Below are 16,716 nucleotides of genomic sequence, written 5' to 3'. Positions count from 1 at the left end.
CTGAGGAGGGGACATATACTCCATTTCCGGAAGAGCCCTCCAGTCTGCTAGAGGAGTCACCACCTCTTATCTTCGGGAAGTTTGTGATCTGAAGGCAGAGGCGGGCAGACGTAGCACTGACTCGCAGGGCTGCCCAGGGCCTGGGCCCTTCACCTGCTGGGCCTGCTGAGGCCAACTTGGAGGTGAGGAAGGCAGGGCAGGGCAGGGCCCAGAGATCCCTACTCCTCCCAGGGATCAGCCTAGGGTCAGGCTTGGGCGAGGTCTGGCCCGGCTGCCCTGACTGGGGGGTGGTCTCTGCAGACGGGCCCCGAGGCACATTCTCAAGCTATGGCATGAGGCAGTTCTGCTGGGCAAAACAGTTATTACCGCCCGTCGCTGGCGAGACAGGGAGGGTCTATTACAGGGTTGGAGCTGCAGGCAGCCCCCCCCCCTTCACTCCACCCCACCCACCATGCACACACACCTGCACACACACACCCCCATGGGCAGACTCACTAGTTGCATGATTTTCAACGAATCCCTTCACTTCCCCATGCCTCAGTTTCTTCATCTGTAAAAGGAGGATAATAACACGGGCTTGCCTGGACACGTGACACCTGTGTATGCCAGGGCCTCCGTCCCCTACCCAGTTCCATTGCTCAGGACATACACACTGTCAGACGTGGACACATATACGACCCTGAACATTCACCTGGGAACTCACATGCAATGTGCACCCATGTCCTGGCTTGCACGCCTTCACCCAAGTGCACACACACCTGTATAAGAAGTTAGAGGGGCTGGGGGTGGCGGCTCCTGCCTGTCATCCCACCACTTAGAGATGCCGAGGCAGAAGGATTGTTTGAGCCCAGGATTTCGAGACCAGCCTGGGCAATACAGGGAGACCCTGTCTCCACAGAAACATTTTTAAGATGAGCTGGGTGTGGTGGTGCACATCTATGGTCCAAACTACTCGGGAGACTGAGGTGGGAGGTTCGCTTGAACCCGGGAGTTCAAGGCTGCAGTGAGCTGTGATGGAGCCACTGCACTCTAACCTGGGCAACAGAGTGAGACTATGTCTCCAAAGGAAAAAAAAAAAAAAGGGTGGAGGATTGGGGCAAAGACCGCAGGACCCCAAAGGGAGCTCTCATACCCCCTCCACCAGCAGCATTCTATCTCTGGGGCAGCCTCCCACATCTACAGGCTCAGTGCCCCTTCCTTGCCCCCTCTCCCGGGGAAATGCCAGGTTAACAAGGGGAGTACAAGCATGTGAGAGCCACATAGATCTGGCTTCAAATCCCAACTCTGCCCCTGAGTCTCAGTTTCCTCATTTGTAAAATGTGGAGATGAATAGTCTTTGGGAGATCATGAGGCAGCGGGTAGGGGTGGACTCCGTGAGACGACCTATGTCAAGTGTGTTGCTTATAAAGTGCCTAGGAAATAGTAAGTGCTCACTAAATGCTGCTTGGATTGACTTGGGAAGGCAGGACCTCTCTGGAGTGTGGAAGAAAACAGATAGTTACCAGGTGTCTTCAACAAATTTGTTATGTCCCAGGGCCTGAGCTGAGTACTGGTCCTCAGATCAAAAACAAAGCAAAAGCAAACCAAGGCCTGCTCCATCCCTTCCCTGAAGATGCTTGCCCAATACTGGAAACTTGTCAACAACCAGTTTCAAGTCAGCGTGAAATATGTTGGGAGACACAGAAAGGCAGGAGGGCACGGGTCAAAGAATAGGGTTGCCACTCGTCAGGGGGTAATCTTGTCAAGTGACTTTCCTTCTTTAAGCCTCGGTTTCCCTCTCCATGTAATGGGCGTGAAATAACCACCTCCCTGCACTGTTGTTCACATTCACGAGGTTTTGGGCACATGGCCCGGCATAGTGGCTCATGCTTGAAATCCCAGCACTTTGGGAGGCCGAGGCGGGCAGATCATTTGGGGTCAGGAGTTCGAGACCAGCCTGGCCAAAATGGCGAAAACTCATCTCTACTAAAAATACAAAAATCAGCTGGGCATGGTGGCGCATGCCTGTAATCTCAGCTACTCAGGAGGCTGAGGCAGGAGAATCACTTGAACCCAGGAGATGAAGGTTGCAGTGGGCTGAGATCATGCCACTGCACGCTAGCCTGGGCGACAGAGTGACACTCTGTCTCAAAAAAAAAGGTTTTGGGCACATAGCCAAGATCACTAAATAGAAGGGATGATGATTGTGGTGTTGCTGCCCTGGAAGTTGTCTCTGGGCCCATTTCTCCTCTTCTGAGCCTGTGCTGGAACGGGTCTGAAGGTCTGGGATGAGGCTTTCTTTTTATGGCAGAGCTGGAGGTTTCCCCACCAAGAACCCAGTCCTGTAGACCTCAGATCTCAGGATCAGGACAAGGGACTGGGGCACCTTGGGGTGTGCTTGTGCTTGGAGAGACATGGTCAGCCTTCAGCCTGGATTTGGGCATTTCTAGTGACCACAGACCTAGGGGAGTGACAGAGGTGTCCTAACCCTTAGCAGTGTCCCGTCTGACAGGAGAGGCACAGCCCCTCACCCCCAGGAGCATCCAGTCAGAGGAGGGAGACAGCACAAGGAGTCACCCTCTCAATAAGCTAAGACTTCAGAATGGCAGAGCTGGAAGACCCCTTAGAGATGTCTCTTGAGTCACTAGGAGCTTGGTCTGGAGAGATTCACTTAGGGTCCCAAGGGTGGGGATGCACTGGGGGACAGAGTGGGGGTGTGACGCAGCCGGGCTGAGGTGAACTAGAGCATGCATACCCTGACTACAGGCCTTCAGAGTCAGAATGCCACACTCAGCCCCTGCTCAGACAAACCTGCGGTCTCATTCCCACCCTTGCGTGGTCACTCGGCAAGCGCCTGGTGCGAGCTTCCCTTTTTACAAATGAGAACACTGAGACTAGAATGAGGAGGGAATTTTCCAGGTGTGAGACCTTGAGCAGACCCCCTACCAGCTTTAGTTTTCTCATTTGTAAATATCGACAAAAGTGGCCTCTCCATACAGGGTTGGTATGAGGACAGAAGAAGATGGGGGTGAAGGAAGCACAGAGACAAAGCTCAGCCAAGCCTAGCCACGATCACAGTGATGATGAATTATTATTGTTATGAAGTGTCAGTGGTGCCACCGGGCGTGGTGGTGGTGGCTGAAAGCTTCCTGGAGGAGGTGACTTTTAAAGGCAGGGGTGGCCGAGTGCAGTGGCTCATGCCTGTAATCCTAACACTTTGGGAGGCGGAGGTGGGCAGGTTGTTTGAGTCCAGGAGTTTAACACCAGCCTGGGCAACATGGCAAGACCCTGTCTCTATAATACAAAAATTGCCGGGCATTGCCAGGCACGGTGGCTCACGCCTGTAATCTCAGCACTTTGGGAGGCTGAGGCAGGCAGATCACGAGGTCAGGAGTTTGAGATCAGCCTGGTCAACGTGGTGAAACCCCGTCTCTACTAAAAATACCAAAAAAATTAGCCGGGTGTGATGGCACGCGCCTGTAATCCCAGCTACTCAGGAGGCTAAGGCAGGAGAATTGCTTGAACCTGGGAGGCGGAGGTTGCAGTGGGCCAAGATCTGGCCACGGCACTCCAGCCTGGGTGACAGAGGGCGACATCACCACACACACACACAAAATTAGCCAGGCGTGGTGGTCCCAGCTATTGGGAAACTGGGGTGGGAGGATCACCTGAGCCTGGGGAGATGGAAGGCTGTAGAGAGTCATGATCGCACCACTGCACTCTGGCCTGGGTGACAGAGCGAGATCCTGTTTGAAAAAAATAAATAAATACATTTTAAAATAAATTTAAGACAAATAAAGGCAAGGGTGATGGGTTTGGGGAGGAGGGGCGGAGAGAGAGGCGGGCCCAGCGAGGCTGGCGGGGCCCAAGGGGAGGAACCTGCAATGGTATGCAAAGTGCATGGGGCTCTCCGGGCCGCCGCCTCCCCGCCCCGGTTTCCATGGCGACGGAGGCCGCCGCCCCCCAGGCCCAGACCCCTTTTACGAGACGCAGAGGCAGTTCCTCGCCGCGGGGAAGGGGCTCTGGCTCCGGCTCCGCGGTAAACTGCGAGCGGCGGCCCTCAAAGGCGGCACCTGCGGAGCCGGAAGCTGGGGCGGACCGGGGTGCGAGACTTGGGGGGATGGGGGTGAGGCTGGGACAGGGGCCGCCCCGCCGCGCTTCCTCTCGCCTCTTGCGCTCGCTTCTACACAGCACTTCCCACCCCGAGACCCTAGCTTCCTCCGGACCCGCTCCCACGGCAGGTGGGCCATCCCCCCACCCACTCCCCCACCCCGCCCTACGGGACCCGGAGTTCCACCCCGTGCCCCCCACCGCACCCCTGGCCCGCGTCCCTCCCCGCGTCTCCTCCGGTCCCGCTCCATTGTCCTGGGCAGCCTTGCTCTCTCCTGCCTCCTCCCACCTGCCTCTCCTCCACGTGGCCCGGGCTCCTTCCTGGGCTTTCCCGGGCGCCCAGCATTCTCCATCTGCCTCTGTGTCTCCGTCTCTCCAAGTCTCTTTCTGCTGGTCTCTCGTCTCTCAGCAGCAGGAAGAGGAGAGGGAGCGGCGGTGGGGAGTGAGAGCCCTTTGAGGGAGGAGACTGGATGACCCCAGGCAAGGGACTTCCAGGGCTTGAGGGGCCTGGGTCCCCAACCATGCTGGGCATTAGTCAGGCCCCTCTTAAGTAATCAGGAAGAACGGAAGCCGGGCACAGTGGCTCATGCCGGTAATCCCAGCATTTTGGGAGGCAGAGGCAGGTGGATCACCTGAGGTCAGGAGTTCGAGACCAGCCTGGCCAAAATGGTGAAACCCCATCTCTGCTAAAAATACAAAAATTAACCAGGCGTGGTGGCGCGTGCCTGTAATACCAGCTACTTGGGAGGCTGAGGCAGGAGAATCACTTGAATCCGGGAGGCGGAGGTTGTAGTGAGCCAAGATCCGGCCATTGCACTCCAGCCTGGGTGACAGAGCAAGACTCCATCCCGGAAAAGAAAAAACAAAACCAAAAAACAAAAATTAGCCAGGCGTGGTGGCGCAGGCCTGTAATCCCAGCAACTTGGGAGGCTGAGACAGGAGAACTGCTTGAACTCAGGAGGTGGAGGTTGCAGTGGGCTGAGATCGTGCCACTGCACTCCAGCCTGGAGGACAAAGCAAGACTCTGTCCCCACCACCCCCCCAAAAAGGAAAAAGAATGGAGGTGGGAGAGTTTTCCAGTCGTGTATTTATTTTTGAGCAGGCCATTGATGCCTATGGTGCAACAGACCACAGGGAGAATACACAGGGAAGCTGCTGTGCCCCCCACCAAGAGGTTCCCAGTCTTCCTGTCCCCAACCCCTCCCCAGCTCCTCATCCAGGTCCCTTGCCCTCTGCTCAGCACAAGGCATGCTGGCGGCCACAGACATATCTACTGACATGAACACACGCCCCCCACCTACACTGCGCTGGCTGGGGGATACCACAGGGGCCTAACTAGGGAACATGTGAAAGGTGGCAAGAATGGACAAGTGGCCTGTGGCATGATGGATGGGCTGGCAGACAGATGGATGGATGGGTTGGTAGACAGACAGACAGATGGAGCCGCTAGGAGGTGACTACCTGGCTGGGGAGGCCTGTCTGAGAAGTGATGGATGGGATGCAGAGGGGGCTGAGAGGGGCTGGGCCAAGGTGGGAAGGAAGGAAGAAGGAAGGAAGGAAGGATGGATGGCTGGATGGATGGATGGATGGCTGGATGGATGGATGGATGGCTGGATGGATGGATGGATGGATGGATGGATGGATGGATGGCTGGATGGATGGACAGATTGACAGATGAAGGACACAGCTGAAGGGGTGGGGGGATAGATGGGTGGGTTCTAGAGAAATGATGAGAGACCCTGCTGAGGACAGGGACAGGATCTTGCAGGGGTGTTGTGGCAGAAGTGATGGGCAGGGCTGGGTAGGGATAGACTGCTCACTGCAGGGCTAGCTACAGGCAGGCGACAGACAGATGGACCCATGTGTGGACGGACGGATGGAGGGGGAACGGAGGGAGTGAGCAGGGGCCCACTGGGACTGGTTGATGAAGATGGATGGACAGACAGAGGGAAACAGGGCAGGAAGGGGAATGGGAATGGGGGAGGGAAGACCATGTCCTGTCCCGAGGTGGTCCCTACAGAGCCCCTGAGACCTGGCCATTAGGAAAGTGTATGCAAGTTTGCCTGGAAAGGTGTGTGTGTGTGTGTGTGTGTGTGCACAGGCATCTGTGAGAGCTCTGGCGTGGCTGTGTTCCTGGCACTTCCTGGTGTGTGTGTAGCCTTGTGAGGGCCCAGGCCTGGTGATGGGCGTGGAAATAGGGGCCCGGAGGAGTGTAAGCTCTCTCCTCTTCCCTCAGGGGCTGAGGGCATCCTGGTGGGTTTATCCAGGGAGCATGGCAGCCAGGGAGCCTGGGACAGATTTCTGGTGAATGGGGGACTTGTGTGTTAGTGCCTGCAGGGAGGGGAAGGGGCTAGAGTCAGACTGGGAAGTTCTCAGAGACAGAAAACAAACAGAGGGGCTTCCCTGACCCCTTCCTCCTTTCCTCCTTTCCTCCTTTCCTCCCTTCTTCCTTCCAAGCCTCCACGCAGGCCTGCAGCCAAACTGTCAGGACTCAGGAAGGGGGTGACACCTGGCAGGTACTCTGCCAGCCTGGGGCCCCCAAATATGGTGTCAATGATAAAAATAATCCTAGCTGACATTTACGGAGTACTTGCCATGTGCCAGGCACGTTGCCAGGTTTTTCAGGATCCCATGTCTTCCCACAAGGTGGGTATTGTTTTATTTTTATCCCCACTTGACCCGGAAGAAGAGCTCAGGGCAGTGAAGCACCTCATCCGAAACTCCCAGTAAGTGGTGGCCGTGGGAAGCCAGAAATTTGCCCTCGGCCCCTGGCGAACAACAACTTGATCTTCCTCTGCACATCTGCCCAGGGGACACGGGTTGTCAGGCTGACCCTCAGAACACAGTGCAAGGAGGAGAGGAGGGTAAGAGAAAAGATGGCAGTGATGTCCAGAGGCCACATGGTTAGCTGAGTGGCATCAGGGCCTTTAGAGCCCAACGGCTTGGATTCAGAGGCTGACTTTGCCACTTCCTTGTGCAACGTCGAGCAGGTCACTTCACTTGTGTAAGCCTCAGTTTCCTTGTCTGTGAAATGGGGAGTGTGCTGCTCACAGAGGCTATTGGGAGGATAAAATAAGATAATACAGGAAAAGTACCTGGCAGGTTGGAAGGCCCCAGGGTCACAGAGGAGGATCCTGGGAGTCAGGTAAGGGCACTTCCTGGGGGCCCCTGGGCACCAGTCGCCCCACCTTCTGCAGAAGCGGGAATCCCCCATTTGTCATTGTCTCTGGATTGTATCCTGGGCTTCTGGGCATGACGTCATGCTCTGTGCTTGGCAAATAGTAACTTGTGCCATCGTCATACTGCTCTAAGAGGCCGAGCTACTGTCATCTCTCAATGCACTGATGAGGAGAGGGAGGGAAAGACAGCAGTGACTAGCCTAGATCACGCAGTGTAAGCTTTCATCACTGGTCAGCTGGGAAGCCACTATGTTTATTTGCTCATTCATTTAACAAATTTGTAGGACAGACTAGGGGGTGGGGACGGTTCATGACTCACAGAGCAGCAGCAACCCCGGCCCTTCTCCTGGAGCTCACACACGAATGGGGGTGGTGTGAGCAGGGGGAGACAGACAATAGACAAACGAACGGTAATCTCTGGAGTGTGGCAGCTGGTGGTGGTAATTGCTATGGAGAAAAATACAGCAAGGAAGGGGGACAGGGAGTCCAGAGGTGGAGTGGGGTGAGAGGCTGCTATATTTTATTTTATTTTATTTTATTTTATATTTTATTTTATTTTATTTTATTTTATTTTATTTATTTTATTTTATTTTATTTTGAGACAGAGTCGCTGGGATTACAGGCATGCTCCACCACGCCCGGCTAATTTTGTATTTTTAGTAGAGATGTGGTTTCTCCACGTTGGTCAGGCTGGTCTCGAACTCCCAACCTCAGGTGATCTGCCTGCTTTGGCCTCCCAAAGTGCTGGGATTACAGACGTGAGCCACCGCACCTGGCCTGAGGCTGCTATTTTAAATACGGTGGTTAGGACATGTGGCAGACATGAGCTGAACTTCAAACAGAGATCTGAAGGAGGCGAGGGAGCCAGCCCTGAAAATTTGGGGGCAGGGGCACAAACTGATCCAGGCAGAGGGGACAGTACGTGTAAGAGCACTGAGGCAGGCCTGGCCTATTTTTCAAAAAAAATTTTTTTTTTGAGATGGAGTTTCGCTCTTGTTGCCCAGGCTGGAGTGCAATGGTGCGATCTCGGCTCACTGGAGTGCAATGGCGCGATCTCAGCTCACTGCAAACTCTGCCTCCCGGGTTCAAGCTATTCTCCTGCCTCAGCCTCCTTGAGTAGCTGGGATTACAGGTGCACGCCACCTCGCCTGGCTAATTATTTTTAGTAGAGACGGGGTTTCACCATGTTGGCCAGACTGGTCTCGAGCTCCTAACTTCAGGTGATCTGCCCCCCTCAGCCTCCCAAAGTGCTGGGATTACAGGCATGAGCCACCGCGCCCAGCTGGCTATTTCTATTACTTCAAATTTACTTATCCCAAAGGTCGTGAGGAAGCACCTTCCATTCAGCTGACAGCCTTTGGGTCTGCAATGGAGGAGCGATGGGCTATCTTTTTCTTTTTTTCTTTCTTCTTTTTTTTTTTTTGGAGATGGAGCTTCGCTCTTGTTATTGCCCAGGCAAGAGTGCAATGACGCTATCTCGGCTCACTGCAACCTCCACCTCCCAGGTTCAAGAGATTCCCCTGCCTCAGCCTCCAGAGTAGCTAGGATTACAGACATGCGCCACCATGCGCGGCTAATTTCGTATTTTCAGTAGAGACGGAGTTTCTCTAGTTTGGTCAAGCTGGTCTCGAACTCCTGACTGCAGGTGATCCGCCCGCCTAGGCCTCCCAAAGTGCTGGGATTACAGGCGTGAGCTCCCGCGCCCGGCCCCCTTTTTCTTTATTTTATTTTTATTTTTTCACACACATCCCGTAGGATGAGATGCTTTTTGATTTTTTAAAAGACACCTAGTTGAAGACTGGCACTCAGAGGCCGGAGAAAAGCCTGTGGTTCCGATGGTTAGGGAAAGGCTTTGGGGGTCGAAGCTGAGTTGGGAGAGAGGAGGATGTGGCCGAATGGGGAAGGCAAGGCCGAGCAGAATGAGGGGCGCCCTCAGGGAGTCGGGGATGTTGGAAGGGGGCTGTAAATACAGGCGGGAGGTGGGCGGAACCCGCCCAAGCTACCGGGTGGCCGCCTCCCCAGTGCGGACCCAGGCTGAGGCCCCGCCCTGCCCGGAGGCTCCGCCCGCATCCAGGCCCCGCGGGCAGGATCTACCAAGAACCCACATCAAAGGCTCCCAGGAAGCGCGAGCGAGCCCCAAAGGAAGTGGCGCAGCCTCTAATCCAGCTCTGGGGGTGGGGGAAGCCCCGCAATTATTGGGGGGCTTCCTCCCGCGCTACCCCCTTTAAAACCCGGGAGCCCACATTTAAGTCTCCCCACCCCCACCTCAAATTGCCTCCTTGTTGGGGGTGAGGCTGTGTTCAGTAAAACTATTATTCAGACGAGTTTCACCCCAAAACCTCACCTGAACAGCTGAACAGTCTCTCTTTGCGGCTGCACCTGGGGAGTGTGTTCTTTTGAAAAAGATGGGGCCCTAGTTACCGCATGTTTGTGCAACACACACGTTTACTGGGCACCACTGTATGCCCGGCACCATGGGGGACGGCAAGATGGAATAAAACCGGGTCTCTGTCCTTCAGGGAGCCCCCTGCCTAAAGAGGAGGGAGTGAGAGCTGGGGTTTGTCCCGGGAGGAATTATTTATTTGGCCTGGGGGAGCCCTGTCTATTCTTCAGAAGTGACTTTTGATTGATTGTAAAGGTAGCAATAGCTAAGATTCAATGCGCATTGACTGTGTGCCCAGCACTGAGCAAAGGGCATTAGATACATGATGATCTCACTGAGTCCCAGCAGCAGCCCTGAAGGGTGGAAACCAGGATTATTGCACCCGCATGGCTCCACCAAGGCCACACAGTGGGTTACATGGAAGAATCCAGGTCTGCTGGACCCAGTGTTCATTCATTCACCAAATCTGTGTTGGGCGCACACTATAGACCAGGCACTCTCCTACCCTTTGGCAATCCGTTCTCCTGTGTTATGTATGCCAAGGCAGGTCTAGTAGGAGCTGCCCAGATGGAAGGGGCATCCAGGGAGAGGGCACAGCTGGGACAAAGGCATGAAAGTCCAGGAAGTGTTCAAAAAAGAGCAGGTCTACTCGGCTCTGGGGTAGACACACTTAACTTTTTAGTTCCACCTCTGCCATGTACCAGCTGTGTAATTTTAGTCATTTCTTCTCTCTGAGCCTCACGTTGTTTCTGCAAAAATGGAGGCAATATTAGCTTTTCCTTCCAGGGCTAGAGAGGATTAAATGAGTTTACAGAGGTGAAGTGGCCTGGCATAGAGCAGGCCTTCAAGAAATGTGGATTGAAATGAACAGAGGGGTCTGGGTGTGGTGGCTCACGCCTGTAATCCCAGCACTTTGGGAGGGTGATGGAGACCATCCTGGCTAACATGCTGAAACCCCGTCTCTACTAAAAATACAAAAATCTGGGCGTGGTGCCGCGTGCCTGTAGTCCCAGCTACTCGGGAGGCTGAGGCAGGAGAATCACTTGAACCCAGGAGGTGGAGGTTGCAGTGAGCCGAGATCGAACCTCTGCACTCCAGCCTGGCAACAGAAGGAGACTCTGTCTAAAAAATAAATAAATAAAAAATAAAAAAAAGAAATGAATGGAGGGGGCTGGGCGTGCTGGCTCACGCCTGTAATCCCAGCACTTTGGGAGGCCGAGGTGGGAGGATCACTTGAGGTCAGAGGTTCAAGACCAGCCTGGCCAACGTGGTGAAACCCCATCTCCACTAAAAAATACAAAAATGAACTGTGCATGGTGGTGTGTGCCTGTAATCCCAGCAACTAGGGAAGCTGAGGCAGGAGAATCCCTTGAACCCGGGAGGTGGAGGTTGCAGTGAGCCGAGGTTGCGCCACTGCATTCCAGCCTCGGTGACAGAGCAAGACTCCGTCTAAAAAAAAAGGAAATGAATGGAGGAAACTAATTTAGAATGTCACCATCAAATGTGAGCATCTAAGGCCAAGCACAGTGGCTTACGCCTGTAATCCCAGCACTTTAGGAGGCCGAGGAGGGCGGATCATGAGGTCAGGAGTTCAAGACCAGCCTGACCAACATGGTGAAACCCTGTCTCTACTAAAAATACAAAAATTAGCCAGGTGTGGTGGCGTGCACCTGTAATCCCAGATACTCAGGAGGCTGAGGCAGGAGAATCACTTGAACCCGGGAGGTGGAGGTTGCAGTGAGCTGAGATTGCGCCACTGCACTCCAGCCTGGGGGACAGAGCAAGACTCTGTCTCAAAAAAAAAAAAAAAAAAAAAATTAGCATCTATTGAGCAGAATGTGTGGGGAACTGTTCTACCTGTTGCTGGATTCATACCCTGCCTCTGAGGGATTTACAGTCTAGTTGAGAAGATAGTTCAGAGGCTTTGAAAAACAAAAAAGAGTTCAGTTGGTTGAGAGCAGGGTGCTGGTAGGCATGTAGCATGGAGGCCCCTGGGGCTCTAGGGGGGGCCTGATCCCTGGGGGTTTCACCCAAGAGGTAGTAATTAGACTGACCTTAAAGATCCCAGCTGCGGAGAGTTGGCACATTCCAGGACGGGGCACTGCTCTCCAGGTTCAGTGGAATTCAGAGGCAATGGTTGAGGCAGGTACCCATGAGAGTGCGCGCTGGATCTAGCCTGTCTGGGCCAGAATGCCAGCTCCAAATTTTACTTCCAAATTTGCTCTTCTGCAAAATGTGGGCAGGAGCAGTGGCCACCTCCCTGAAGGTGTCATGAGAACTAAGTGGATCAGTACAGATAAGTGCCTAGAACTGGGCCCGGCACATAGTAGTGCTTCATAAGTATTGGCTACAGTTTTTTTCTTTGCTTTTCTTTTTTTAAAAAAATTTTGTTTTGAAACAGGGTCTCACTTGGTTGCCTAGGCTGGAGTGCAGTGGTGCAATCACGGCTCATTGCAGCCTTGACCTCCTAGGCTCAAGCAATCCTCCTTCCTCAGCCGCCCGAGTAGCTGAGGCCACGGGTGCTCACCACCATGCCCAGCTAATTTTTTTTCTTTTTTCTTTTGTAGAGATGGGGTCTCACTGTATTGCCCAGGCCGCATTATTTTTTTTCTGATGCTCTTGGCCAAAGGCAGGCACAGATCAAAGGTGGGGTAAGTGAGGCCATGGCTTCAGCATTCACCTTTGTCATCTCCTTGCCCCCAGTACCCAGCCCCAGCTAAGTCCTAGCAAAGGTGGGCCCCTAAGCAGGCTGGTGGGCCGGAGGCAGGGATTGGCAGGAGAGGCAGTCACACACAAACACACACTCACTCGGGCTCCACCTGCCTGTACAGGAGCCTTGTCTGCTGCAGTGGCGCTGAGGCCCTGAGGGCTCCTTGGGGCCTTTATGGGGTAATTCCATCTCCATTAGGGCTGATTATGTCACTATAAATACCGCGTTTTGGTGCCGCTTTATAAGACTCACTGAAGAACTTTCCTCCTTAGCACCCAGTCACCTAGAGCGGGAAAGACTCTGAGTCGGACAGGAAAAGAGGGAAGGGTGTGTCATTAAATGGGTGACTAAAAGCCAGGGAAAAGCCAGGTGGAACACCCTCTTGCCACCACCTGACATACCACTCCTTTCCATAGGCCTCTGTTCACGTCACATGCTGCAGATGAGCAACACCCTGCCCTATGCTCTCAGCCCCCAACTTGTGCACATACTGCTGGGCACACGCCCCACAGCCATCAGGGCCTGCCTGCACCCCTGCCGTGTGTGTGCTTGGATTCAACCTTTTGAGGCCACACATGGAAACCCACACTTGCCACCAGAAGGACCAACCAACACTACACACAGAGACTTTCACGCAACACAGAACTCGCAACACTGTCATTCACTCATTAGTTCATTCATTCAGCGGAGGCTTGCTGAATATCTAGTATGTATCAGGCACTGTCTGTTTTCTTTTTTTGTTTTTGGCTCTCGCTCTGTCACCCAGGCTGGAGTGCAGTGCCGCGGTCTCGGCTCACTGCAACCTCCACCTCCTGGGTTCAAGCGACTTTCCTGCCTCCAACTCGAGCAGCTGGGATTACGGGCATGCGCCACCACGCCCGGCTAATTTTTGTATTTTTAGTAGAGACGGGGTTTCACCATGATGACAAGCTTGGTCTCAAACTCCTGACCTCAAGTGATCTATCTGCCTCGGCCTCCCAAAGTGCTGGGATTACAGGCGTGAGCCACCGCGCCTGGCCCAGGCACTGTCTGTTTTCTACAAACATCCCTGTCCTCCTGCAGTGTGTCCTCTAGTGACACATCTGACAGATGGAGCCTGCAAGTGGCATGTAACACACATGTACAAGCAGTGGCTTCCACACAACTCACATGGAGTCTTACACACGCCAGTGTCCCTAGCCCAGAGGCTCCAATACAACATGCAAAACACTTATCCAAACCACGTACTACACACATGCTCACACTCATCCACACACCCCATGTGCCTGTCCACAGAGCCCTGGGCACAACACATGCCCTGCTCTCCACGGATGTGGCTTCCTGTTGCTGAACCGCATGTAACCCAGTAACAGCTGAGATTTCATGCGTGCTTTCTGTAGTCCTGGCCCCTGTGGTTTACATGCATGACTTTATTTGATCTTTACAGTAACTCTCCTAAATAGGCTTTACATCTTTCCAGGAGCAAACTGAGGCTCAGAAAAGTGAAATAACTTGTTCAGAAACTCATGGGCTGACTCCACATCTACTGTGAAGTATGGCACACTCACAAATACATGCATACACAAATCCACACTCACATGCACTCATACACAAATCTCTCACACCCACATGCACACTCATACACACATCTAGACACATCCACACAATCCACAAAAACACACACAGACACACACTCATACCCAAATCCTCTCATGCCCATGCACACACACTTATACACACATATACCAACACTTTTTTCTTTTTTTTTTTGAGACAGAGTCTTGCTGGCCCAGGCTGGAGTGCAGTGAGTGGCGCAATCTCGGCTCACTGCAATCTCTGCCTCTGGGGTTCAAGTGATTCTCCTGCCTTAGCCTCCTTAGTAGATGGGATTACAGGTGAGTGGCACCACGCCCAGCTAATTTTTTTGTATTTTTAGTAGAGACGGGGTTTCACCATGTTGGCCAGGCATGTCTGGAGCTCCTGACCTCAAATGATCTGCCTGCCTCGGCCTCCCAAAGTGCTGGAATTACAGGCCTGAGCCACCCTGCCCAGTCACATACAACACTTATGTCCATACACACACTCACACACAGTCATACATACATCAACACTCTCATGTCTATACACACGAATGCACATTCAACAAAATCTCACACCCTCATACACATGCACTTATTCTCACAGGCACTTGCACACTCACAGGCTCTCAGAGGACCAAGGCTCTCCTCCCATCCTCTTGGTCAAAGGCTTTAATTATCCCCAACGCCTGTAATTAACCCTTCCTCTCTTCCTGCAGGAGAGATGTCTGGACCCGCTTCCCAAGAGTAGGCACCAAGGCGAGAGGCCAAGATGTCCACATCCGGCAGAGAAGACCCACGTACCTGGGTAGCAGGTCCCGGGCATCAAAGCGAGGATGGGGTCAGAGAGGAAGAGGTAGGCAAAGGGAGTCTGGGGCCTCCCAGGAAATCAGGCCTGCCACAGTTGCTCTTCCTGGACTGGTCAAATGGTGATTGGCCAACAGGCAGCCGTGGGTGGCTGGGCAGGCGGGCCAGAGCAAATTTCCCGTTTGTTTCACTCACACTAGCCGCTTCTGTCAGGAAGGGAGATGAGCTCATGTCTGAGGAAGTTTTGTGAAGAGGCCTTATCAAGGGGCAGGTGGTAGGCAGGTGTCCTCCAAACTGTCAAAACCTATCAACCCATGCCAGGGTCGGGGGCCAGGGGTGCCCCTTGCCCCCTTCCCCAAAAAGAAGCAGTGGTTCAAGCAGAGACCACCAGGATTCAAATCCTGCTTCTACTACCCGTGAGCTGTGCACCCTTTGGGCATGTTGTTTCTGCTCTTGGAGCCTCAGTCTCCTCTTCTGTAACATGGGGATGATGACCCCTGCCTCCCAGATGAGAATTATTAATAAATAAGATAGTGCATGTCTGATCCATTCCCAGAGGAAATGAACCTATTCTCAGATCATAGTAGGCTTATAGGCTTCTGAACAGAGATACTCTTTTTGACCATCAGCAGCTTGATATACTCTTCAAGGGTTTTAGGAAGGAGGGCATCCAGGTCTATTTCTGGGCCACTCTCTCAGGCCTGCTGCTTAGGAGGCAACTGCTTATTGGACCCCCAATCCATTTCAGCTCAGACCTTCAGGCCAGCGTTGAGCTCAGTCGCATTGAGCTCAGTCTCAGAGGTGAAGGGCAGAATGGGTATGGCTCAGCGCAAAACCATTAAACGTTTCCACCGAGGATACCAGGCTCAGAGATCCCTGGGGGCTAATCCGTAGGGGCGCTGGCGCTTTGAGACGCTCAAACTTTGGAAGGCCTGCGGGGAGCCCGCGAGTCCAGAGGGCCCCAAGGTCCTCCTCCAAACCCCTCCGGACTTCCCCTCCCTCTCCTCCGGGTGCCAGCCCGGCCCCTTTAAAGACATTCCTGAGGGCGGGCGTTGGTGACGTCACGCAGGGCATGAATGAACAGGAGTCGGTTCTCACCCAACTTCCATTAAGGACTCGGGGCAGGAGGGGCAGAAGTTGCGCGCAGGCCGGCGGGCGGGAGCGGACACCGAGGCCGGCGTGCAGGCGTGCGGGTGTGCGGGAGCCGGGCTCGGGGGGATCGGACCGAGAGCGAGAAGCGCGGCATGGAGCTCCAGGCAGCCCGCGCCTGCTTCGCCCTGCTGTGGGGCTGTGCGCTGGCCGCGGCCGCGGCGGCGCAGGGCAAGGAAGGTGAGTGCGCGCGGCGTCTGGACCCCTGGCCCCCGGGCCCCAGTGCCCCCTAGAGCCCGGCGCTCCTTGACGCGCGCAACTTTGGAACCTACCTGGTGTCGCCCAGTCCCGGCGAACTGGAGTCCGGAGGGCGCACGGGCTGCGATCGAGGCGAGCCCTGGCCCCCACCCGGGGTCATAGGGGCTCCGGAGAATAAGCGGTTTCAGCTTGGTCGCACGGGCCTCGGAGGCTGCGGAGAAGAGGACGCGGCGCAGGCCACGCGGTTGCAGTCCAGGCGGCGACTTCGGGAACGCGTCCCGGCGGGGGGCGTGGGGAGTCCCCTAGAGAAGGGGGTGTTTGGGCAGCTTTCCGCGGGCTCAGCTTCTTAGTGACCTGAATTCACTAACCCGCTTGCCGAGGTTTTGCGGAGAAGGCATACTGTGCAGGCCTCGCATTTTGGGGAGGGGGCTCGGGCGGGCGGGAGCCCCCTGTCGAAGCCCCTGTTCCCTGAGATTTTCTCCACGCCCCCCTTCACCTCCAGTCCCGGGGGAGAGCGTGGAGATAGGTTCGGGCCAATCCCTGCTCACACACTCCTTTCCCTCCTTCCCAAGCCGCACTCCCGGGCTCCCGGGGCAGGTTAGGGGCCGCGAGTGCGGACAGGAAGTCCCAAAGTCAAGCGTTCTG

At 54.5% G+C, this 16,716-nt stretch overlaps 1 protein-coding gene and 1 long non-coding RNA gene across 8 annotated transcripts in view, besides 10 other annotated features; one reads left to right on the top strand and one right to left on the bottom strand.

The window, feature by feature from the left end:
• Positions 2,918-3,563: an enhancer, noted in NCBI's record as "H3K27ac-H3K4me1 hESC enhancer chr1:16494833-16495478 (GRCh37/hg19 assembly coordinates)". NCBI's record gives its function as "activates a minimal SCP1, AML or CMV promoter by ChIP-STARR-seq in naive and primed H9 embryonic stem cells {active_cell/tissue: H9 hESC(naive and primed)}" and the evidence as "EXISTENCE:reporter gene assay evidence [ECO:0000049][PMID:30033119]".
• Positions 3,752-4,151: a silencer, noted in NCBI's record as "silent region_324". NCBI's record gives its function as "represses an Ori minimal core promoter by ATAC-STARR-seq in GM12878 lymphoblastoid cells {active_cell/tissue: GM12878}" and the evidence as "EXISTENCE:reporter gene assay evidence [ECO:0000049][PMID:35858748]".
• On the bottom strand, positions 5,159-16,686 carry EPHA2-AS1 (EPHA2 antisense RNA 1). Of its 5 annotated transcripts, none has more exons than NR_187273.1 (3): positions 16,146-16,686; positions 14,722-14,930; positions 5,159-7,430 (listed from the first exon to the last, which is right to left on the bottom strand). It is a non-coding gene; the product is annotated as an EPHA2 antisense RNA 1 (long non-coding RNA). The 5 variants fall into 5 exon arrangements; NR_187275.1 differs by having other exon boundaries at positions 5,159-7,145; NR_187272.1 differs by lacking the exon at positions 5,159-7,430 and adding an exon at positions 9,008-10,400.
• Positions 5,851-6,791: an enhancer, noted in NCBI's record as "H3K27ac-H3K4me1 hESC enhancer chr1:16491605-16492545 (GRCh37/hg19 assembly coordinates)". NCBI's record gives its function as "activates a minimal SCP1, AML or CMV promoter by ChIP-STARR-seq in naive H9 embryonic stem cells {active_cell/tissue: H9 hESC(naive)}" and the evidence as "EXISTENCE:reporter gene assay evidence [ECO:0000049][PMID:30033119]".
• Positions 7,744-8,271: an enhancer, noted in NCBI's record as "H3K27ac-H3K4me1 hESC enhancer chr1:16490125-16490652 (GRCh37/hg19 assembly coordinates)". NCBI's record gives its function as "activates a minimal SCP1, AML or CMV promoter by ChIP-STARR-seq in primed H9 embryonic stem cells {active_cell/tissue: H9 hESC(primed)}" and the evidence as "EXISTENCE:reporter gene assay evidence [ECO:0000049][PMID:30033119]".
• Positions 8,272-8,799: an enhancer, noted in NCBI's record as "H3K27ac-H3K4me1 hESC enhancer chr1:16489597-16490124 (GRCh37/hg19 assembly coordinates)". NCBI's record gives its function as "activates a minimal SCP1, AML or CMV promoter by ChIP-STARR-seq in primed H9 embryonic stem cells {active_cell/tissue: H9 hESC(primed)}" and the evidence as "EXISTENCE:reporter gene assay evidence [ECO:0000049][PMID:30033119]".
• Positions 8,800-9,327: an enhancer, noted in NCBI's record as "H3K27ac-H3K4me1 hESC enhancer chr1:16489069-16489596 (GRCh37/hg19 assembly coordinates)". NCBI's record gives its function as "activates a minimal SCP1, AML or CMV promoter by ChIP-STARR-seq in naive H9 embryonic stem cells {active_cell/tissue: H9 hESC(naive)}" and the evidence as "EXISTENCE:reporter gene assay evidence [ECO:0000049][PMID:30033119]".
• Positions 8,800-9,856: a biological region, named in NCBI's record as "hESC enhancers GRCh37_chr1:16488540-16489068 and GRCh37_chr1:16489069-16489596".
• Positions 9,173-9,467: an enhancer, noted in NCBI's record as "tiled region #8013; K562 Activating DNase unmatched - State 5:Enh, and HepG2 Activating non-DNase unmatched - State 9:DNaseU". NCBI's record gives its function as "activates a minimal TATA promoter and a strong SV40 promoter by Sharpr-MPRA in K562 cells, with weaker activity in HepG2 cells {active_cell/tissue: K562 | HepG2}" and the evidence as "EXISTENCE:reporter gene assay evidence [ECO:0000049][PMID:27701403]".
• Positions 9,328-9,856: an enhancer, noted in NCBI's record as "H3K4me1 hESC enhancer chr1:16488540-16489068 (GRCh37/hg19 assembly coordinates)". NCBI's record gives its function as "activates a minimal SCP1, AML or CMV promoter by ChIP-STARR-seq in naive H9 embryonic stem cells {active_cell/tissue: H9 hESC(naive)}" and the evidence as "EXISTENCE:reporter gene assay evidence [ECO:0000049][PMID:30033119]".
• Positions 9,406-9,475: an enhancer, noted in NCBI's record as "active region_260". NCBI's record gives its function as "activates an Ori minimal core promoter by ATAC-STARR-seq in GM12878 lymphoblastoid cells {active_cell/tissue: GM12878}" and the evidence as "EXISTENCE:reporter gene assay evidence [ECO:0000049][PMID:35858748]".
• EPHA2 (EPH receptor A2) overlaps positions 15,832-16,716 on the top strand; it is a 31,733-nt gene continuing 30,848 nt past the window's right edge. For all 3 annotated transcript variants that reach the window (NM_001329090.2, NM_004431.5, XM_017000537.2), the window contains exon 1: positions 15,832-16,053. Coding sequence is in view for 2 of the 3 variants with exons in the window: in NM_004431.5 (NP_004422.2) it covers positions 15,969-16,053 (85 nt within the window). In the remaining variant the exon portion in view is untranslated. The remainder of the gene's footprint in view (positions 16,054-16,716) is intronic.

This window comes from Homo sapiens, chromosome 1, assembly GCF_000001405.40.
Source record: "Homo sapiens chromosome 1, GRCh38.p14 Primary Assembly".
Classification (NCBI taxonomy): Eukaryota; Metazoa; Chordata; class Mammalia; order Primates; family Hominidae; genus Homo; species Homo sapiens.
This window is presented reverse-complemented; position numbering and strand designations above follow the sequence as displayed.